Source organism: Homo sapiens, chromosome 12, assembly GCF_000001405.40.
Source record: "Homo sapiens chromosome 12, GRCh38.p14 Primary Assembly".
Lineage (NCBI taxonomy): Eukaryota > Metazoa > Chordata > Mammalia > Primates > Hominidae > Homo > Homo sapiens.
The window spans coordinates 6,498,996-6,522,408 of record NC_000012.12 but is presented as its reverse complement, the minus strand read 5'-3'; the positions used below and the strand labels follow the sequence as shown (position 1 = coordinate 6,522,408).

At 45.2% G+C, this 23,413-nt stretch overlaps 1 protein-coding gene and 1 non-coding gene across 2 annotated transcripts in view; both read right to left on the bottom strand.

The window, feature by feature from the left end:
- The window catches only part of NCAPD2 (non-SMC condensin I complex subunit D2), a 37,854-nt gene that overhangs the window by 9,547 nt on the left and 4,894 nt on the right, over positions 1-23,413 (bottom strand). The window contains exons 3-15 of the mRNA NM_014865.4: positions 12,617-12,692; positions 12,276-12,334; positions 11,599-11,780; positions 11,157-11,299; positions 8,017-8,144; positions 7,822-7,945; positions 7,489-7,636; positions 5,384-5,581; positions 4,910-5,044; positions 4,726-4,813; positions 4,450-4,630; positions 1,299-1,423; positions 372-611 (exon numbers count right to left, since the gene is read on the bottom strand). Of these exons, the coding sequence (NP_055680.3) occupies positions 372-611; positions 1,299-1,423; positions 4,450-4,630; positions 4,726-4,813; positions 4,910-5,044; positions 5,384-5,581; positions 7,489-7,636; positions 7,822-7,945; positions 8,017-8,144; positions 11,157-11,299; positions 11,599-11,780; positions 12,276-12,334; positions 12,617-12,692 (1,827 nt within the window). The remainder of the gene's footprint in view (positions 1-371; positions 612-1,298; positions 1,424-4,449; positions 4,631-4,725; positions 4,814-4,909; positions 5,045-5,383; positions 5,582-7,488; positions 7,637-7,821; positions 7,946-8,016; positions 8,145-11,156; positions 11,300-11,598; positions 11,781-12,275; positions 12,335-12,616; positions 12,693-23,413) is intronic.
- Positions 11,858-12,187, bottom strand: SCARNA10 (small Cajal body-specific RNA 10). Its single transcript, NR_004387.1, has one exon.

Below are 23,413 nucleotides of genomic sequence, written 5' to 3'. Positions count from 1 at the left end.
TGCTATGTTGCCCAGGCTGCTCTCGAACTCCTGGCCTCAACCTGTCTTCCTGCTTTGGCCTCCCAGTTTTGTAGGGATTACAGGCATGAGCCATCGCGCCCAGCCGAGAACCCCTGCCTTTTAAAGGAGCAGATAGATATATCAATAAAATATGGAAAAGAACTCCAAGATCCATGGCCGGGTGCAGTGGCTCACACCTGTAATACCAGCACTTTGGGAGGCTGACGCAGAAGAATTGCCTGAGCCCAGGAGTTGGAGACCAGCCTGAGCAACAAAGGAAGGCCCCATCTCTATTGTTAATAAAAATTTAAAAAATTAAAAAATCCAAAAGAACCCCAAGGCTGTCCTTATAGAAAGGGACTCTGGCATACCTGTAGTTGTGTTTTCATACATCATCTTGCTGATGATGCCAATGGCCTCTGTAATCTTCCGGGAGAAGCTGTAGGCATCCTGCAGATACTGTACCAGCATCTCCTGCTTCACTAGTTCATCATTTCCCCTGGATTCCTCAGGATCCGACATATTGGGTTTATTTTTACAGACAGTCTGTCCTGTGACCATGTTTCCTGTAGACTCCCGGGGATTCTTTTCTTGTGTGGAAGCTGCTGGGCCTAAGGAGTTAGAGAAGTACAGGATGGTTTCGTTCAAGGGGATACAGGGGAATCCAACAGCTGTCAACATTCCTGGATATTTACTTATTTATTTTCCTTCTTCTTTTCTTTTGAGATGGGGTCTCACTCTGTTGCCTAGGCTGTGCAGTGGCAATGATCACCGCTCACTGCAGCCTCAACTTCCCCGGGCTAAGGTGATTCTCTCACTTCAGCTCCTGAGCAGTTGGGACTACAGGTGCGTGCCACCGCACCTGGCTAATTTTTTTTTGGTATCCCTTGTAGAGATGGGGGTTTCGTCATGTTGCTCAGGCTGATTTTCAACTCCTGGGCTCAAGCAATCCTCCTGCCTTGGCCTCCCAAAGTGTTAGGATTACAGGCATAAGCCACGACATCTGGCCCTGGATATCTCTTTTCACAATGTGAAGATATGAAATTAAAACTTACTCTAAAATATCTAAATTTCTCAAAAACCATACCTAAAGACCGCTATGGTCTGGACAGTCACCCTGTGACTATCAATCTTAGGCCCGTGGGCTGCTTCCATTCCAGAGCAAAAGTAATGCCAATTCATCTCTGGGCTCTTCAGCACCAGGTTCTGTTAACCAGGCCAATGATGGCATAAAGTTAATGCTCAGTAAATACCAGTTGACATGTGTTATTTATTGACTGAAGAAGGAAAATGATTACCTTTGAAGATAAGTCCTAAGATATTCAAGAGCCTGGTCTCCTCTGACTCCTCTGGGTCTATATGACTGAAGGGTTCGGACTCCTGGAAGTGGCCTGTGGCTTCTCGAGTGAGAATGATGGCCTTTCTGAAAGAACACCAGCCTGTCAGTACCCAGAAGAATGTCACTGCAGCCGTTTGTAAGGGAGCTTACCTCATGATTCTATCAAGTCCCTGGACCTACTGCCCAGAGAAAAGGAGCACTTAACATGCTTAAAAAGTTGTTACAGCACCTACTAAGGGGTAGGGCTCAAAACACTTTGCCTATTTTTTTCCCCTGACTGCTCATCTGCAAACACTTTTCCTATTTCTGAACCTACAAGGCATTACTACAGTCTTCAAAAAAACTCCAATAAGGCTTTTTAAAGTTTTAAAATCATAAACCTACTCCAAACACCTGTTTAAAAACTTTCCTAAGTTTAGAAACAATAAACTTTCAATAATTAGTTAATTCAGGCACATCCAGACAATAAGATTCTATGTAGTCATAAAAAATAATGGGGACACGTGAGCCCAGGAATTTGAGATCAGTCTGGGCAACACAGGGAGACCCAACTATACAAAAAGTAAAAAAAGTTAGCCGGGTGTGATGGTGTGTGCCTGTGGGTGTGATGGTGTATGCCTGTGGGTGTGATGGTGTGTGCCTGTGGGTGTGATGGTGTGTGCCTGTGGGTGTAATGGTGTGTGCCTGTGGTCTCAGCTACTCGAGGGAGCTGAGGTGGGAGGATCACTTGAGCCTGGGAGATCAAAGCTGCAGTGAGTTGTGATCATACCACTGTACTCCAGCATGGGCAAAAGAGTGAGACACTCTCTCTCTCAAAAAAAGAGGAGAGTGGGAAACTATTTATGTATAAATATATATGTGTATATATATATATATATTTTTTTTTTTAGAGACAGAGTCTTGTTCTGTCACCCAGGCTGAAGTGTAGTGGCATGATCTTGGCTCACTATAACCTCTGCTTCCTAGGTTTGAGTGATTCTCATGCCTCAGCTCCCCAAATAGCTAGGATTACAGGTACGTGCCACCATACCTGGCCAATTTTTGTAATTTTAGCAGAGATGGGTTTCGCCATTTCGCCACGTTGGCCAGGCTGGCCTCAAACTCCTGGCCTCAAGAGATCCACCAGCTTTGGGCTCCCAAGGTGCTGGGATTACAGGTGTGAGCCACTGCACCTGGCCATCTATAAATTTTTTTTTTTTTTTGAGATGGACTCTTCCTCTGTCACCCAGGGTAGAGTGTAGCGGAGCAATCTCAGCTCACTGCAACCTCTGCTTCCTGGGTTCAAGCAATTCTCCTGCCTCAGCCTCCCAAGTAGCTGGGATTACAGGCATGAGCCATTGCACCCAGCCATAAATATTTTTAAAAACCACTGAGACACATAGTTAAGTGAAAAAAACAAGATGGTAGATCAGTGGGCAGAGAATTCTATCAGTCATATAAAAGGGGGAAAAAAAGAATACATGTTTGACTGCTTGTCTACATGTTATCTTCTTGCCACGTTGCCCAGGCTGGCAAAGGCCAGGCCTGGTGGTGTGTACCTGTAATCCCAGCTACAAATTATAAATAAATTAACCAGGCTACTCAGGAGGCTAATGTGGGAGATCGCTTGAGCCCAGCAGGGTTGAGGCTACAGTGAGAGGCTGCAGTGAGCTGTGATTGCGCTACTGTACTCCAGCCTGGGCAACAGTGAGATTCTGTCTCAAAAACAAACAATCCTTTTCTAATTGACAGGAGAAAATACTAGAATGCTTGGTGGAACATGCACTTATAAAACTATAGTCTCTATTTTTGCTTTAGCAAAATAAAAAGAGAGACACTAAAGTAACATAAGGGAGTCATAGGGCAAACAAGCCACTCTCTAGCCTTCTAAAAACAGCCCAAGCCGGGCACGGTGGCTCAAGCCTGTAATCCCAGCACTTTGGGAGGCCGAGGCAGGCGGATCACGAGGTCAGGAGATTGAGACCATCCTGGCTAACACGGTGAAACCCCGTCTCTACTAAAAATATAAAAAAAAAAATTAGCCGGGCGTGGTGGCGGGCGCCTGTAGTCCCAGCTACTCGGGAGGCTGAGGCAGGAGAATGGCGTGAACCCAGGAGGTGGAGGTTGCAGTGAGCCAAGATCGCACCACTGCACTCCAGCCTGGGCAACAGAGCAAGACTCCGTCTCCAAAAAAAAAATTCAGCCCAATTAGGTAAGAAGTAAATAAATAACAAATAACTTGTGGCTGAGGTTTAAGAATACTTGTTGGCAGCCGAGTGCGGTGGCTCACGCCTGTAATCATGGCACTTTGGGAGGCTGAGATGGGTGGATCACCTGAGGTCAGGAGTTCAAGACCAGCCTGGCCAATATGGTGAAACCCTGTCTCTACTAAAAATAAAAAAATTAGTGCGGTGTGGTGGTGCGCGCCTGTGGTCCCAGCTACTTGGGAGGCTGAGGCACGAGAATTGCTTGAACCTGGGAGGCAGAGGTTGCAGTGAGCCAAGATCGTGTCACTGTACTGCAGCCTGGGCAACAGAGTGAGTGAGACTCCATCTCAAAAAAAAAAAAAAAAAAAAAAAAAAAAAACTTGTTGACGGCTGTAAGGGCTTTTGTTGTTAAGTTCTAGAGTCACAAAAACACTAGGAGAAATCTTTTCTCTAAGATCAGGATTCATACTAGGTTTGAAGATTAAGGTAGTATTAAGCATGTTTGATATTATTAGTTCATGAAATTTAGAATTAGAAAGTCCTTAGAGATCATAAGATCTAATCAATTTCTTATTTTATAGATAATGAAACCGAGGCACAGAAAGTTAAGCAACTTATTCAAGATCATACAACTAGAACTTATTTATAGGTGCTCTTCTTCAATTGAAGGAGGACTCATGTTTGATTATAATACTGTTAACATTTAATTGTTTCAGTAGTTTTTTTAAACATTTATAAAGTAGAAACACATGCTTAATTGTGGACTAGGCCTATGGTCAGACCATTACTACATGAAAACATCTACCATCACCTGGTGGCAGCATATCTGTGTGCAGTTAATTTAAAAGACACATTATGTAAGTTTCTCAAAGGTTAACTCTAAACATAAACAGATCACGAAGAATATCCCATTCTTTTGCCTACTTGTAACTAGCTTTGGCAAGCAGTTGATAGATGCGTCCTTTCACATCTTCAGTTGTCTCTGTATTGGCAATTTGCTCAGGAATCTCCTCCTCTCCCTGGGGAAGCTGTAGAAGCTGCTGCAGGGTAGACTTCAACTCTGGCAGCATGGCTTCCCACTCCTCCTCTGGGTCCAGCACTGCAGCTAAATGAGAGTGTCACTTAGTCTCTTTCACTAGAGTTTCTGACTGCAAGGAGAAGCCTGTCTGGCATTAGGACTCCAAGGCAGTAACTACTTACAAGCTGCTGCAGTTCGCCTCTGGGCCCTCATCTCTTGTAATTTCTGGGTCTCCTTCTGCAGTGGTCCGGCAAGGTCAGCATCACTAAGCTATCAGGTAAAATGAATAGCAGGGTCAGTAAATGACATAATTTCATCCCTGTTTCCATTTAATTCCTTCTCTTTTGGTGGACCAAGTCTACTTACCTTGCAGGAGAAAGGATTATTGGCTAGAAAACTGGCCAGCAGCTGGATGGCATTTTTACATACTAGCACTGACTTGTCTGCCAGACGTCCCACAGCTAAAGCCACCACTGCCTGGAAACGTGTCAGGGGGAGAGCCTGTGTAGGGTAGGAAGAGAAGAATCTGCTCAAGTCCCACATCATCCATTTTGTTCAAGATGATCTTTAAGTATACTCTAAACTGAGCTACCCACTCACTCTAAAAACCCTTTCTACAGAATATAGATTAGGAGTACTCCTTGTAGTGGTAAGACACATTACAGTCCTTAAAGGGAGCCAGATATCCTCGTCCTTGGTAGAGGAAGACTTTTACTACTGATAATAAAAATGTGAATTCTAGACCTCTTTGGGGCAGATATTTATCTTCAACACTGGATTCCTCTTTACACTGGTATATGGAGAGGTACCATATGTTTTTGCCACATAGAAGTTGGTTACCTTCTGCTGGACAATTCGGGTGAAGAGCTGCAAAACACGGCTCCGCACAAAGGAGTTGACATCATGGCCATGGGCTTGTAAAGTATCCAAGAACTGGTCTCTGGTGTCTCGGGCTGCTGCTTCCAGTTGATCGCCACTGAGAACCTGCAGCACCATCTCCGCCATGGCTGCCAGCACAGCATTACGCATCATGTAATTCTAAGAGAGAGAAGCATAGAGGGGTCAAACCTTTAGTCAAGGCGAAGCTTGCTTGTGCTTGGCCATAACTTTTTCCATTAACTGCCTAGGTATTCACTCCCAAGGTCACAGGAGAAAGCTGAATCCCAAAGAGGACTTGTTGCTCAGAGAATGCTAGAACAAGGGCCAAAACCAATTTTTCCTCATAGGGCTCACACAGGAAAGCATGGTAGTAGCTGAATAAAAAAATCACATCCACTCACCAACACACATTTGAAAAGCATTTATTAACTACCCTTCAGCTGAGGTCTCAAAGCCTTTGTTATTGTGGTTGTTTGTTTGTTTTTGAGACGGAGTCTTGCTCTGTTGCCCAGGCTGGAGTGCTGTGGCGCCATCTCGGCTCACTGCAACCTCTGACTCCCGGGTTCAAGTGATTCTCCTGCCTCAGCCTCCCAAGCAGCTGGGATTACAGGTGCCCGCCACCACACCCAGCTAATTTTTGTATTTTTAGTAGAGACAGGATTTCACCATATTGGCCAGGCTGGTCTCAAACTCCTGACCTCGTGATCCACCCTCCTCGGCCTCCCAAAGTGCTGAGATTATAGGCGTGAGCCACCGCGCCCGTCTGTGTGGTTTTTTTTGGTTTTTTTTTTGAGACAGAGTCTCGTTTTGTCACCCAGGTTGGAGTGCAGTGGTGCGATCTCGGCTCACTGTAACCTCCATTTCCCAGGTTCAAGCAACCCTCCCACTTCAGCCTCCCGAGTAGCTAGGATTACAGGTGCGCGCCACCACACCCAGCTAATTTTTTTTTGTATTTTTAGTAGAGATGGGATTTCACCATGTTGGCCAGGCTAGTCTTAAACTCTTGACCTCAAGTGATCCACTCACCTCAGCCTCCCAAAGTGCTGGGATTACAGGCGTGAGCCACCACACCTGGCCTCAAAGTCTTTAATCCTTACTAATAAATATCCCCTCCTTTCCCTCCCACTCTCCTTCAGATGCTTTACTGACAGAAAATGAGACAGAAACATGGAAATCAGCCTTAAGAGTGCCAGCAAGTCCAATACATAATCTAGTGGAGAGCAGGGTTAAGGTTTTGCCAGGCTAAGAACCAGAGAATAGGGTCTTGCACAAAAAGTTAAAGTAAATGAGATGAACAAGTGGACTGTCTTTGTCCTTGACATTCACCTAGGAGTGCCCAACATCAGTATGGGAATCAGCCAGGTTAGCATTCAGGCATAAAAGAGAATTGAGAGAGATGACATGGGTTGATTTGAGAAAGTTCATTGTTTGAGGAAGCAAGGCAAGCCAGCTGGTGGGAAGACGCTTTATCCTGAGGAACAGATGGGACTCAGAATCAAAGCTGAAGGCTAAGCATGGTAGCGCCTGCAATCCCAGCACTTTGGGAGGCTGAGGCAGGAGGGTTGCTTGAGACCAGGAGTTTGAGACTAGCCTGGGCAATATGGCAAGACCCCACCTCTACAAAAACTAAAAAAATTAGCCAGGCATGGTAGTATGTGCCTGAAGTCCCAGCTACTTGGGAGGCTGAGGTGGGAGGATTGCTTGAGCCCAGGAGATCGAGGCTGCAATGAGCTATGATCATGCTCCAGCATGGGTGACAGAGCCAGATCCTACCTCCAAGAAAAAAAAAAAATCAAAGCTGAGTTGCTCTTACTAGACTTAAGCTGCAGAAATGTCATCTCCCTTACCAGAACTGGATAAAAGCAATGTGAATTGAAAGATTAACAGATTAATAAAGAGCTCCTTATTCAACAAACTTGACCTGCTTCTCTACAGAAAGGAAATGTCACAATGATAAATCTAGACAACTTGTCAAAGCTACTTTCTTGTTCTGTTAAGAAACAGCCTTTCAACACTGGACTTAAAATCCCCAGAAAAAGCTCAGTGACCCCTAGTGGACCACCTACTTCTCCATCCAGGTGATCTAGCAAAATGCACATGCTGGACATCAGGATAGCTGGGACACGTTCTGCTAGTTCTGTCAGGAATGCTGCAAAGCCCTTTGTCCCTGAAGGGTCTCGACTCAGCTCTTGGGGACACTTTTGTCCAATCTCTCTACACAGGGAAGAAAACACAGCCATAGCAACATAGATCAATTATTCAGTTCCCAGTAAGGGAAGGTAAGACAGGTATCTAATATCTGAAGGAATCTACTGTTGCACAGATAATGTATTTCCAATCTTTCTTTATTCCCTCCCCAAGGAAAATAAGCATGAGAAACTTCGAGAAGGAAGAGTCACCTTACAATCTCTCCCACTATGCTCTTCATTCCATAGTCAGTTGCCCATAGACTCACGGCTGCAACCAGTACAGGTGCCAGGTGTTCAAAGTGCTGCAGCATCTGGATGATCTTCACTGTAGCACCTGTGGAAGCATTAAACATGAGAAATTATGGGCAATACAAAAAAGGCGGGGCAAAGCGACTGGTAACTTACTGAGCATATGGTTATAACGGGTCAAGGCTACACCAAGCAGGTGTGTTATGGCTTCCCGAGTGGGGCGGTTCTTCTGGTGATTAATGGTGGGATTCTCCAGAAGGCGGTAGCAACAGCCAGTAACCAAACTGAGAAAGGAAGAGTTTGAGATGATGAAAGCAGCTGTCTGAATCCAATTGTATCAGAGCCCTGCCTCATTCATTCTATCCCTACTGCTCCCAAAGTCAGGGTTTTCTTTATTCTAGCCATTACTTTCTATAACAAGTTGCTTTGCTTTGCTGACCCCAGTTAGGTACTCCTTCCTTCAAGATTACCAACTTTCAACCAGTTGTGATGCTGACAAAGAACCTAAATATATCATAAAAATATGATAGAGTTGGCCGGGTGTGGTGGCTCATGCCTGTAATCCCAGCACTTTGGGAGGCCGAGGCAGGTGGATCACGAGGTCAGGCATTCAAGACCAGCTTGGCCAACATAGTGAAACCCTGTCTCTACTAAAAATACAAAAAATTAGCTGGGTGTGGTGGTGGGCGCCTGTAATCCCAGCTACTTGGGAGGCTGAGGCAGGAGAATCCCTTGAACCTGGGAGGTGGAGGTTGCAGTGAGCTGATATCATGCCACTGCACTCCAGGCCAGGCGACATTGCGAGACTCCATCACAAAAAAAAAAAAAAAAAAGACAAAGTCACCAATGACTTCTCATTCCTAAATATAACGACTGATTCAATCTGCATCTCAAGTGGTCTTTCACAGCTGCATGTGATACAGTTAATCACTCACTTTCTCCTTGAAATATATGCTTTATCTCGCTTCCAGGACACAAGAACAAGACTCCTTTCTCAGTTTCTTTGGCTAGTTCCTCCTCAGACTCTTTTTTTTGAGACAGGGTCTGCCTCTGTTGCCCAGGCTGGAGTGCAGTGGTGCAATCACGGCTCACTGCATCCTTGACCTCCTCATAGCTCAGGTGATGCTCCCACCTCAGCCTCCACCATGCCCAGCTAATTTTTCTATTTTTTGTAGAGACACAGTTTCACTATGTTGTCCAGGCTGATCTCAAACTCCTGGGCTCAAGTGATCCTCCTGCCTCAGCCTCCCAAAGTGCTAGGATTATAGGCGTGAGCCATGCACCCGGCATCCTCACTCTTAATGCTGGAGTGCCCTAGGGTACCAGTCCTTGGATTCCTGCTCTTTTAGCTACACTTACTGATTTGGTAATTTCATTCAGTCTCACGGCTCTGAATACTATTATATTCCCAAATGTGTTATCTCTAGCTCAGACCTCTCTCCTGAACTCCAGATCTATATATTCAACGTCCAAATCTGACTTTACGTGGCTAATAAACACCTCAAACTTTGTATGTCCAAAACAGAACATCTGATCTTCCTCCCAAAACACCTATTCACAGCCTTCTCCCTATCTCAGTTACCATTAACTCCAGTCTTCCAAATGCTCAGACCAAAACCCGGGAGAGTCATCCTTGACTGAACTCTCCCTCCCACCTCACACCCAGTCTGTTAGCAAATCCTGTAAGCTCTACCTTAAGGAAAAAGTATAGAATCCAACTACTTCTCCCCATCTCCACTGCCACGCCTTGGTCTAAGAGACCATCATCTCTTGCTTGAGTTATTGGAACAGCCTCTTAACTGGTCTCTTGCTTCCCCTTTCCCTCCATAGTCGATTTCAATACAACAGCTAGGATGGCCCTGTTGAAGTACAAGTCAGGTCACCTCACCTCCCTGCTTGTGGCTCCCCAGTGGCTCCACTTCATTCTGAGGAAATGCCAAAGTCACCATGATGGCCCACAAGAACCTGCGGTCTGGCTCCCCACTGCTCCCATGGCCTCACGGCCTAACCCTCGTACCTGCTCTCAGCTGTCAGCTCTCTGGCCTCCTTGCTATTGCTCGTACGTGCTGGACATGCTCCCTCCTCAAGGTCTTTGCATATGCTATTCCTTTTCCCTGCCCTTGCTATTCCTCCACATATTCTCATAGCTCTCAGTCACCTCCTCTGGGTCTTTGCTCAAATGTCACCATCTCAAAGAAGTCTTACTAGAGTAGCTTGTCTGTCTGTTTGTCTGTCTGTCTATCTATCTATCTATCTTTTTTTTTTTTTTTTTTTTTGGAGATGGAGTCTTGCTCTGTTGCCCAGGCTGGAGTGCAGTGGCGCGATCTCAGGTCACTGCAAGCTCCACCTCCCGGGTTCACGCCATTCTCCTGCCTCAGCCTCCTGAGTAGCTGGGACTAGAGGCGCCCGCCACCATGCCCGGCTAATTTTTTTTTGTATTTTTAGTAGAGACGGGGTTTCACCGTGGTCTCGATCTCCTGACCTCGTGATCCACCTGCCTCAGCCTCCCAAAGTGCTGGGATTACAGGCGTGAGCCACCGCGCCTGGCCCTATCTATTTTTTTTGAGACGGGATTTTGCTCTTGTCGCCCAGGATGGAGTGCAATGGTGCGATCTCAGCTCATTGCAACCTCCCTCTCCCAGGTTCAAGTGATGCTCCTGCCTCAGCCTCCCAAGTAGCTGGCATTACAGGCACACACCACCATGCACAGCTAATTTTCATATTTTTTTAGTAGAGACAAGGTTTCACCATGTTGGCCAGGCCGGTCTTGAACTCCTGACCTCAGGTGATCCACTCGCCTCGGCCTCCCAGAGTGCTGGGATTATAGGCGTGAGCCACCGCACCGGGCCTAGAGTAGCTGATTTAAAATCACAACCTTCTTCCATCAAACTTATTTTACTTATTTTAAAAATAGACTTCTGGCTGGGCGTGGTGGCTCACACCTGTAATCCCAGCACTTTGGGGGGCCAAAGCAGGGAGATCACCTGAGGTTAGGAGTTCAAGACCAGCCTGGCCAACATGGCAAAACCCGTCTCTATTAAAAATACAAAAATCAGCTTGTGGTGGCGGGCACCTGTAATCCCAGCTACTCGGGAGGCTGAGGCAGGAAAATTGCTTGAACCCAGGAGGTAGAGGCTGCAGTGAGCCGAGATTGAACCACTGCGCTCCAGCCTGGGCGACAAGAGTGAAGCTCTGTCCCCCCACAAAAAAAAAACAAAACCAAAAAAACGGCATATCTATCAACAGAGCCTCACTCTCACAGCTCAGTATTATCTGTAGCCATCCTCCCTACCCACCTGACAAATTCTTCTTCAATTATTGAGTGGTTCCACAGGTGACGGATGTCCAACTGAAGTAGCTGTGTTAAAAGCTGAAGAATTGGTTGCCTCTCTTCTTCCCAGTCAAAGCCATGGGCTGCCTTGGTCCGAGCTTTCTTACCCTAAAAAGGATCATGTATACATTGAGGAAAAAATAAGGGAAAAAAGTGGGTCAAGATCTGTCAGTCTGAGTGCCCAAACAATCTAGTACCAAGACAACATAGAAGGTAATACGGAAGAAATATTACAAGTTCCACAGCGCTACTTGTCCAGGAAGAAAACGTGTGACACTTTTGAGTTCTTTCTCCTAAATTCTCAATGAGGACAGAAAGGATTTGTGGATCATTGGATTCCCTTCTTTTCCATCTATTCCCCTATCTCCCCAGACCCCATATAACGTGAGCCCAAAACTCCAAATTACCTTCCCACCAAGGTCCAGGTCCACAAGGTTTGTCTGGCTGGCCATGGTCTCAAAGGATTCCAGGAGACGTATCAGAGCATAACAGTTCATTTTGAGGGCATTTAGATGGGCGTTTCTATCTGATCCACTCAAAGTTGTATCATCCAGGATAGCTGGAAGCTCCTGGGAGTGGCGGGATACCACTGTGAGGGGCAGAATCTTGGAGTCAGTTTCACTCACTTCTTTCATATACCCCAACTTCAAAACACCCAGCACTTGCAGCCATCAGATTACCAAAGATCTGTGTTTCATCTCTCAGTGGCCATAACACAAGCTAAGTCCTTTAGGACCCTTGGCCCTGATACCCTGAACATGCCCTGTTCCTACTCTCTCACTCCAGTTACCACAATTTCTCTCCAGCAACTGGAAGAATCACCCCTATTAAAAAGAGGTAGCTCAAAAGTAGGAAAAAGTTCTTGTTGGTCTGCCCTTACAGTGAACACACATAACTCTGTATCGCCCACCAAGATTACAGACCTTTAACAGGCCAAAGGTCCCTGGGCTTAGCCAAACCAACTGAATCACAACAGCCTTGATATCATCATGTGGCTGACAAAATGTAGGAAAAACAAACAAACAGACAAACAAACAAACGATAACAAACACCTTCCATCCCCTACCCCCTGACCCATAAACACCTTTTATCAGGAATTGCAGAGTATCTTCTTTGAGGCCAGGATCTATACTTCGAAAGTGACTATGAGGGAAAGAAAGTGTGGGGGTGAGACAGGAAGGAGCCTGCAGAGCCCCTTCTAACAGATCAGATCTAACCCGTGGAATCGAATGTTTAAAAATACACGTGAAATTGTTCAACTGAATAAATACGGTGGCAAGCTGGGTACATGCTCATCAGTAGAGATATCAATATCCAGAGGCATTTATCAGTGAACCTATAACTTGGAATTTCAGGACTAACATGCACAGTTAGGACAAACAGTCACCAGTTCTTTTTAAAGTACCAGTTGGGTGTTTCACTTACTGCAAAATGCTGTAGATAGTATCAAAGTGCTGCAGCATAGCCAGGGGCCCCTGAGCTCGAAAGGCAGCCTGAAAAGCTATGAAGATGGAAAAAACAAATCAATTTGGAGGGAAGAGAAACCTTTTCAGTAAATTCTATCCATGGCAGAAAACTAGGTTTATTGCTTTTATTGGTAGAATCACAAAAAAGAGACAAACAGTTCACTTCAATGTAACCTATAATGACGATGAGAGCCGGGCATGGTGGCTCACGCCTGTAATCCCAGCACTTTGGGAGGCTGAGACGGGTGGATTACCTGCGGTCAGAAGTTGAGACCAGCCTGGCCAACATCGTGAGACCCCATCTCTACTAAAAATACAAAAAATTGGCTGGGTGTGGTAGCAGGCGCCTGTAATCCCAGCTACTAGGGAGGCTGAGGCAGGAGAATTGCTTGAACCCAAGAGGTGGAGGTTGCAGTGAGCCAAGATCGTGCCATTGCACTCCAGCCTGGGCAACAAGAGCAAAACTCCGTCTCATCTCAAAAAAAAATAAAATAAAATAATGATGATGATATCTTATATTTGTGTTACAATTAAAGCCTTGTTTGAGCTTCACCACACCTGAGCAAAAGCAGACAGTACCACGCCTACTTTACACCTTAGAGTAGTTATATGACTTGTCCAACTTACAGTAGTTAGGAGGGAACACAAACTCAGGATCTTTTAAAAAAAAAAAAAAAGTTTATCCTATTTGTGTCCTTTTTCTGCTTCAGGATCCCACAATGCACTTAGTTGTCAGGTCTCCTTCCTCTCCTCCAGTCTTTATCTTTCATCATCTTGACACTTCTTTGAAGAGTACTTGTCACTTATTTTGTACAATGTCCCTCAATTTGGGTTGGCCTGTTTTCTCGCGATTATATTGAAGTTATGTATTTTCGTAAGATTACAGCAGAAGGGAGGGTTGGTCCTCAGGCATCGTATCAAGAGGTGCATGAAGTGAATGTCTTATTACTGCTGATGTTAACTTTGATCACTTCGTAGTGTCTGCCACATTTCTCCACTGTAACATTATTATTTTCCCCTTTGCAACCAGTATTTTTGTGGGAAGATACTTTCAGACTACGTAAATGTCCTGTTTCACATCACATTTTTGCCCACTAATTGAAGCATCCATGAATGATTCTTGCCTGCCACAATTACTGCTGTGGTGTTTACTAAATGGTGATTTTCTATCTCTATTATTCCTTCTACATTTACTAATGGGAATGCTATTGTAACGATTAGCTGTCCCTTTCCCTTTATTTAGTTATTCACTTATTTATAGCAGAATGGACTTAGGGATATTTGTCTTATTCTGTGCTTTAATCCATTACTATTACTATTTATTTTCCTGCTCAAATTGTCCCATACTTGGTCTCTGCGATCTCCTTCAACTTGGCCTGTGTCCTTTGAACATGCTTCCATTTTTTTGTTTTTTTCAAGATAGGGTCTTGCTTTGTTGCCCAGGCCAGAATGCAGTGGTGCAAACATAGCTCACTGTAGCCTTGACCTCCTGGGCTCAGGCGATCCTACTGCCTACTCCCTACTGCCTCAGCCTCCCACGTAGCTAGGACTACAGGTGCGTGCCACAACGCCTGGCTAATTTTTTTTATTTTTAGTAGAGACGGGGTTGCACCATGTTAGCCAGGATGGTCTTGATCTCATGATCCACCTGCCTCGGCCTCCCAAAGTTCTGGGATTACAGGCGTGAGCCACTGCGCCCGGCCCAGCTAATTTTTTTTTCTGTTAATTTTTTGTAGCGACAGGGTCTCACTTTGGTGCCCAGGCTGGTCTCGAACTCCTGGGATCAACTGATCTGCTGCCTCAGCCTCCTGTGGGATATGATGAGGTTTCTCTTCAAATAGCCTGATCAATCCTCTATTCTTTAATTCATAGCACTCCCCCACAACCTTTTTTCCTTTTTCTCTTTTTTTCGTTTCTGCCTTTGTTACATGCCTGGACACGCCACAGTACCAGGCTTATCAGTACCAGCTCACATTCCTTTCCTTATTTGGAAAGAAGACTAGCTTTCCTTTATTACTATTTCTTTATTTTCTTTCTTACTATTTCTTACTATTACTATTCCTTCCCTTATTTGGAAAGAAGACTAGCTCTCTAGATCATTGCAGACACCCCTTCACCTTTTCCCCTCTCTCCCTTATGTGCCCACCTTATCTAAAGAAAGTTCAGATGTTTAGCCAATTGGGCTAATTGTGCAACCCGACCCCGGCAAATGGGAAAAGGGTACAGGGGCAGGACTTGCGTCAGGAATAAAGGCTCTCGTGCCCCTTTGTTCAGGTGTGCTTTCACGGCGACTGGCCAAGGAGAGGCACCCCTCTGCAGAGAAGTAAAATTGCTTTCCTAAGAATCCTTTGTTTGAATGTTCATTTTCCTTAGGATTTTGAGTGTTATTCCCAACACTCCCAAAGTACTCGGATTAAAGGCATGGGCCACTGCACCCAGCCTCCCTTCATTTTTGTTCCCTGACTGTCTTGTATCATGAGATGGGCTGGGCTCAAGCCTGTAATCCCAGCACTTTGGGAGGTGGAGGCAGTAGAATCGCTTGGGCCCAGGAGTTCAAGATCCGCCTGGGCAACATGGTGAGGCACCATCTCAAAAATAAATAAATAAATAAAATAAAAGATGTTCTGGGCTCATCTTGTATTTTCCCTGGCCCAGTCCTGTAATCAACCATTCTTGGTGGAATCCTGGCTATTACGGAATAATGGTATGTAGAAGCCAAATTCTAGGCATTACTTGCACTCATTTCTATTAGAGTATTACTGCCTTTAGGCCCTCTCACTGGAGAAAAGTAAGGCACCTATGTATGTCTACAATTAATCTTCGAACAATACGATTTGAATTGTGTAGGTCCACTAATATGCTAATTTTTTTCAGTAAATATACTGGAATTTTTTCTTTCTTTCTTTTGAGACAAAGTCTCACTCTGTCTCCCAGGCTGGAGTGCAATGGCACAATCACAGCTTACTGCAGCCTTAAATTCCTGGGCTCAAGCAATCGGGCTGCCTCAGCCTCCTGAGTAGCTAGAACAACAGGTATGCTCTACCATATCTGGCTAATTTTTTTTTAAAGCTACATATGTCATGAACGCATAAAATTTATGTAGATCCTAGTCTATTTTATCATTTACTACCATAAAATATATATGTCTTTTTTTTTTTTCTTGAGACGGAATCTCTCTCTGTCGCCCAGGCTGGAGTGCAGTGGTGCGATCTCGGCTCACTGCAAGCTCTGCCTCCTGGGTTCACGCCACTCTCCTGCCTCAGCCTCCCGAGTAGCTGGGACTACCGGCGCCCGCCACCATGCCCGGCTAATTTTTTGTACTTTTTTAGTAGAGACGGGGTTTCACGGTGTTAGCCAGGATGGTCTCGATCTCCTGACCTCGTGATCCGCCCACTTTGGCCTCCTGAAGTGCTGGGATTACAGGGGTTGAGCCACCGTGCCCGGCCAAATATATATGTCTATTATAAAGTTAAAACTTATCAAAACTTGATGCAGGCTGGATGTGATAGTTCACACTTGTAACCCCACCACTTTGAGAGGCTGAGGCAGGAGGATCACTTGAGGTCAGGAGCTCAAGACCAGCTTGGGCAACATGGCAAGACCCCATCTCCACAAAAAATAAAAAATTAGCTGAGCACAGTGGGGTGCACCTGTAGTCCTAGCTGTTCTGGAGGCTGAGGCGGGAGGATTGCTTGAGCCTAGGAAGCTGAGGCTGCAGTGAGCTGTGATCACACTACTGCACTCCAGGCTGGGTGACAGTGAGACCCCATGTAAAAAAAAAACACCAAAAAACCTCACACACAAACACAGACAGTACATGACATCATTCACAGCCCAAGAGAAACGGAAATAAATATAAAGATGCAATATTATTTGTTTTTGTTTTTCTGAGACAGGTTCTTGCTGTCACCCAGGCTAGAGTGTAGTGACACAATCTCAGCTCACTGCAACTTCTGCCTCCCAGGTTCCAGCGATCCTCCCACCTCAGTCACCCTGGGAGCTGGGACTACAGATGCATGCCACCACACCCGGCTAATTTTTATATTTACCACACCTGGCTAATTTTTGAATTTTTAGTAGAGACAGGGTTTTACCGTGTTGGCCAGGCTGATCTTGAACTCCTGATTTCAGGTGATCCACCTGCCTAGGCCTCCCAAAGTGCTAGAATTACAGGCGCGAGCCACCACACCTGGCCTAAAGATGCAGTATTAAATCATAACTGCATAAAATTCACTTCAGTACACACTGTAGTACTGTAATAATTTCATAGCCGCCTCTTGTCGATACTATGGTGAGCTCAAATGTTGCAAGTATCTGCTTAAAAACTCTGAGATGTTAATCATCTTCCAGTGAGCAGTTCGTCTCTCCAGTAAACTGCATATGGCAGACCGGGCACGCTGGCTCACACCTGTAAATCCCAGCGCTTTGGAGACCGAGGCGGGTGAATCACTTGAGGTGAGGAGCTCGAGACCAGCCTGACCAACATGGGGAAACCCTGTCTCTACTAAAGATACAAAATTAGCCAGGCATGGTGGTGCATGCCTGTAATCCCAGCTACTTGGGAGGCTTAGGCAGGAGAATCGCTTGAACCCGGGGAGGCGGAGGTTCCAGTGAGTCGAGATCATGCCACTGCACTCCAGCCTGGGCAACAAGAGTGAAACTCTGTCTCAAAACAAAAATTGCATATGGCAGCAAGAAGTGATCTCCTGTGGTTCCTCAGGTATTTTTCATGTGTCTAAAGCAGTATCATAAACCTTACATAACACCATGGGACCCATAATGAAGTGCCACTAGTGATGCTGGAAGTGTTCCCAAGAAGCAGAAAAGAGTCATGACATTACAAGAAAAGCCAAATTGCTTCATATGGTACCATGGACGGAGGTCTGCAGCTGTGGTTGCCTGCCATTTTACATGATTCATCATGTAAACTTATGGTGTCGATAAATACAGCACAATACTGAACATGTATTTTCCTTATGATTTTCTTAATAACATTTCCTCTAGCTTGACTGCAAAAATATAGTAAATAATATACATAACATAAAAAACATATGTATTAAGGCTCGACGCGGTGGCTCACACCTGTAATCCCAGCACTTTGGGAGGCCGAGGTGGACAGATCACTTGAGGTCAGGAGATTGAGACCAGCCTGGCCAACATGGTGAAACCCCATCTCTACTAAAAATACAAAATTAGCCAGGTGCAATATTGCATGCCTGTAGTCTCAGCTACTTGGGAGGCTAAGGCCGGAAAATCACTTGAACCCAGCAGGTGGAGGTTGCAGTGAGCCGAGATCGCGCCACCACACTCCATCCTGGGCCACAGAGCAAGACTCTGTCAAAAACAAAACAAAACAAAATAAAAAAACTGTTATGTTACTTGTAAGGCTTCTGGTCAACAGTAGGCTATAAGTGTTTAAGTTTTGGGGCAGTCAAAACTTACATATGCAGATTTTTGACTGCACAGGGGTTGTCATCCCTAACCCCCACGTTGTTCAAGGACCAATGGTATATATATATATATATATCTATATCTATATATATATATATATATATATATATATATATATGTATATATATATGTCAAAACTGAATGAGATAGTCCATGCAAACCAGTCAGAACAACACTTAGCACGCTGTATGGTTTGAATGTGCCCCTCATAATTCATGTGTTGGAAATATAATCCCCAACATGACAGTGTTGGAAGGTGGAGTCTAATGGGAGGTGTTTAGGTTATGAGGGCTCCACCCTCACAAATATATATACATATTTTTGAGACGGAGTCTCGCTCTGTCGCCCAGGCTGGAGTGCAGTGGCATGATGTTAGCTCACTGCAACCTCTGCCTCCTGGGTTCAAGCAATTCAGTGCCTCAGCCTCCCGAGTAGCTGGGATTACAGGTGCCTGCCACCACACCTAGCTAATTTTTCTATTTTTTAGTAGAGACGGGGTTTCACCATCTTTTTTAAAAAAAAAAAAAAAATAGATGGAGTCTCGCTCTGTCACCCAGGCTGAAGTGCAGTGGCACGATCTCGGCTCACTACAACCTCCGGCTCCCAGGTTCAAGTGATTCTCCCGCCTCAGCCTCCTGAGTAGCTGGGATTACAGGCACGCGTCACCACACCCGGCTAATTTTTTGTATTTTTAGTAGAGACGGGGTTTCACCATATTGGCCAGGCTGGTCTCGAACTCCTGACCTTGTGATCTGCCCGCCTCGGCCTCCCAAAGTGCTGGGATTACAGGTGTGAGCCACCGTGCCCAACCCCTCACCGATATATTCATACTATTATAAAAAGGGCTCTGGGGAGTGGGTTCACTTGTGCCCTTCTGCCTTCTGCCCTGTGACAATGCAGCAAGAAGGCCCTTGCCAGTTACTGGTGCATTGATTTGGGACTTCCCAGTCTCCAGAAAAAAATGTGAGCCAATAAATTTCTTTCATTATAAATATCCAGTCTCAGGCATTCAGTTATAACAGCATATTTTTCTCAGTCCATTTTCTATACATCGTATTTCCATTGTTGAGCTTGTATCACATATTCACTTCTCTGTCATGCTTTTTAAAATTTAGCATTACAGTAAGTGTATTAGAAACCTTTGTAGGCCAGACGTGGTGGCTCACGCCTGTAATCCCAACACTTTGTAGGCTGAGGCAGGTGGATCATCAGGTCAGGAGTTCGAGACCAGCCTGACCAACATGGTGAAACCCCGTCTCTAATAAAAATACAAAAAAAAAAAAAAAAAAAAAGCCAGGTGTGGTGGCATGCGCCTGTAATCCCAGCTGCTCAGGAGGCTGAGGCAGGAGAATCGCTTGAACTGAGGAGGTTGCAGTGAGCCGAGATAGTGCCACTGTATTCCAGCCTGGGTGACAGAGTGAGACTCCGTCTCAAAAAAAAAGCAACAACAACAACAACAACAAAAACACCTTTGTAAACAATTTTTTTTGAGACAGGGTTTGTTGTGTTGCGCAGGCCGAAGTGCAGTGCAGGATCATAGCTTACTGCAGCCTCAAACTTCTGGGTTCAAGCGATCCTCCTGCCCCAGCCTTCTGAGTAGCTGGGACTACAGGCAGTGCCACCACACTCGGCCTTATATCTATCTTAATTTACTATTCCCCTATTGTTAGATACTGTGATACTTGTAACTTATTCCACTAATTAACAACAACAACAACACATACTCCCCTGGCAAATCTAGGTTAAACCAACTTTCTGGTTACTCCATTCATGTGACCACACAAATAAAAATGGCCTGAGAAAAACACAGAAACAAGCTGACTAGTCTTACGTTAAACTCATGACTACTAACCTGAAGTGGGCATTCGTACTCCCAAGTCTATTCGTTTTCTTCTAGGCAATTATTTCACACCTATCCTCTGCTCATAACACCATGACCTTCTTCCCAAACTCACTCTCAGTTAAAGGCTTTCCCTTCCTATTGAGGAAACAGAAGCAGACAGAAGAGAACTTTCAACTGCCCCAAGCTCTATATTTACCTGCACTAGTTGCATCTATGCCCATACATACACTCTGCCTTTTTTTTTTGCTACTGTGGATAAACTGTCCATGTTCTGATAAAGCCATCTCCTCCCCGTGTACCAGATCACGTACTCTCTTACCTACTAAAGGCACTGCTCCAACAACTGTTCCCTCTTCCTTCTGCAGCATCAGCTTTTCCCTCTCTGATCATTCCTACTCAATATAGACACACATAATGCTGCCCATCTTAAAAGAAATACATTATGTAAATTCATCATCTCTAATCTCTGTCATTCCATTTTCTTAAAAACCTATTCCTAGCAGGCTTTTGCCCCCACCATCTCCTGAAACAGCTTTGTCAAGGTTACCAGTGACTATGACATCAATAAATCCAGTAGTTAATCTGCAGTTGACCTCTCTTTTGTTTTTGAAACACTCTCTTTATTTAGCGTCCATTTAGCTCCTTCATTCGCTTTCTGCCCCAATGACTGCTTCTTAATTTCTTCTACTGGTTCTTCTTCATCCTCCTAGCCTCTAAATGCTGGACTGTCTCAGGTCTTGGTCTTCAAACTGCTGCTCTTCTCCATCTACACTCACTGCAATCTCATGGCTTTAAGTGCTGTCTACACGCTGAGTATTAAATCCTAAATGTGTATCTTTAGCTGACAACCTCTCCCTTGAACTCTGCACTCACATAACCAACAATCTAAACCTCTCCCTCCCATATGCTACCCCATCTCAGTAAATGGCAACTTCATTCTTCTAGTTGCTCAAGTCAAAAAGCCTTGTAAGGCCGGGTGTGGTGGCCCACGCCTGTAATCCCAACATTTTGGGAGGCCGAGGCAGGCAGATCACTTGAGGCCAGAAGTTCAAGACCAGACTGGACAACACGGCAAAACCGCATCTCTACTAAAAATACAAAAATTAGCCAGGTGTCGTGACCCTGGGAGGCGGAGCTTGCAGTGAACCGAGATGGTGCCACTGCACTCCAGCCTGGGCGAGAGAGCGAGACTCTGCCTAAAAAAAAAAAAAAAAAAAAAAAAAAAAAAAATTAGCCAGGCGTGGTGGTGCACACCTGTAATCCTAGATACTCAGGTGGCTGAGGCATGAGAATTGCTTGAACCTGGGAGGCAGAGGTTGCAGCGAGCCAAGATCACGCCACTGCACGCCAACCTGGGTGACAGAGCCAACAGAGCAAGACTGTCAAAAAAAAAAAAAAAAAGCCTTGTAATCATTCTCATCTCAGATTCCTTTACTAACCCTATAATCCAATCCAATCCATCAGCATTCCTGTAAAAGCTCTACTTTGAAAATATATCCTGAGTCGTTTTATCACCACTTCCCCTGCTATCCCTCCAGTCCAATCTACTTGGTATTACTGTATTAGCCACTTAACTAGTATCCCTGCTTCTCTCCTTGCCTCTTATAGTCTCTGCTCAACACAGTCGCCAGTGAATCTTTTAAAATGTCAGACCATGTCACTCCCATGCTCAAAACCCAATGGCTTTCAAGTTCATTCACACTGAAGTTCAAGTTTTTGCCATGATCTACGAGGCTCTAGAGATCAGTGCTTCTCAAGCTTATAATTGCATCCAAATTGCCTGGGGGAATCTTCTTAAAATACAGATTTCCTGATTCAGCAGCTTTGACATCCTGGGCCTTGACATCCTGCATTTCTAATAAGCTCCCAGATCATGAGATCCTGATATTAACACTGCTGATCTGAGGACCACATTTTGAGGAGCAAGATTCTAGAATAATCTGTACCACTTCCTACCTAATCTCTTTTTCCTAGCTTAATGCACTCCAACTCTATTGGCATTTGCCCACCTCAAGGCCTTTGCATAGGCTTTTCTGTTTGCTTGGAATGCTCTTCCCTAACAATCTGCATAGTTTATTTCCTTACTTTCTTAAGGTCTCTGCTCAAACGTGACGTAACAGCAAGCCTTCTCTGATGATCCAACATGAAATGACAGGTCCTACTATCTTCTTCTTTATATTATTTATTTTTAAGCTTTGTATAATTAATTTTAGAGACTATGTTGCCCAAGCTGGTCTTGAACTCCTGGCCTTAACAATCCTGCTTCTGCCTCCCAAGTGGTTGGGATTACAGGGACAAGCCACCATTCCCAGTACACTTCTTTTTTTTTCTTTTTTGAAACAGGGTCTAGCTCTGTGGCCAGGTTGCAGTGCAGTGGCATGATCATGGCTCACTGCAGCCCCTGCCTCCTGGGCTCAAGCAATTCTCCCACCCCAGCCTCCCAAGTAGCTGGAACTACAGGTGTGCACCACCACGCCTGGCTAACTTTTTTGTAATTTTGGTAGAGATGGGGTTTCACCATGTTGGCCAGGCTGGTCTCAAACCCCTGAGCTTGAGCAATCCAACCACCTTGGCTTCCCAAAGTGCTAGGATTACAGGTGTGAGCCACTGCGCCTGGCCACACTGTCTTCTTTATTTTTCTCTTTGGCTCTTACAACCATCTTACACACAGTGGTCCTCACCAATCTGTGTTCTCACTTTCTGGGGTTTCAGTTACCCGTGGTCAATCTCAAGTCTGAAAATATTAAATGAAATATTCCAGAAATAGGCTGGGCACAGTAGCTCACGCCTATAATCCCAGAACTTTGGGAGGCCAAGTTGGGCAGATCACCTGAGGTCAGGAGTTCGAGACCAGCCTGGCCAACATGGTGAAACCCCAGCTCTACTAAAAAATACAAAAAAAATTAGCTGGATGTGGTGGTGGGCACCTGTAATTCCAGCCACTTGGGAGGCTGAAGCAGGAGAATTGCTTGAACCTGTGAGGTGGAGGGTGCAGTGAGCCGATACCTTGCCACTGCACTCCAACCTGGGCGACAGAGCAAAACTCCGTCTCCAGAACAACAAAAAAACCCCCCAAGAATTAGCCAGGCGTGGTGGCACTTACCTGTAGTCCCAGCTGCTTGGGAAACTGAGGCAGGAGAATTGCTTGAGCCCAGGAGGTGAAGGTTGCAGTGGGCTGAGATTGAGCCACTGCACTCCAGCCTGGTCAACAAAGCAAGACCCTTATCTTAAAAAAATAAAAAGAAAGAAAGAAAGAAATATTCCAGAGATACACAATTCATAAATTGTAGGTTGTGTGTCATTCTGAGTAGCATAAAATCTGGTGCTGCCCTGCCGCCTCCTGCCTGGGATGTGAACCATCCCTTTGTCCAACATATCCACACTGTATATGCAACCCTACTCACCCATTAGTAGCCACCTTGGTTATCAGATCAACTGTTGCAGGGCTTCTGTTCAAGGAAC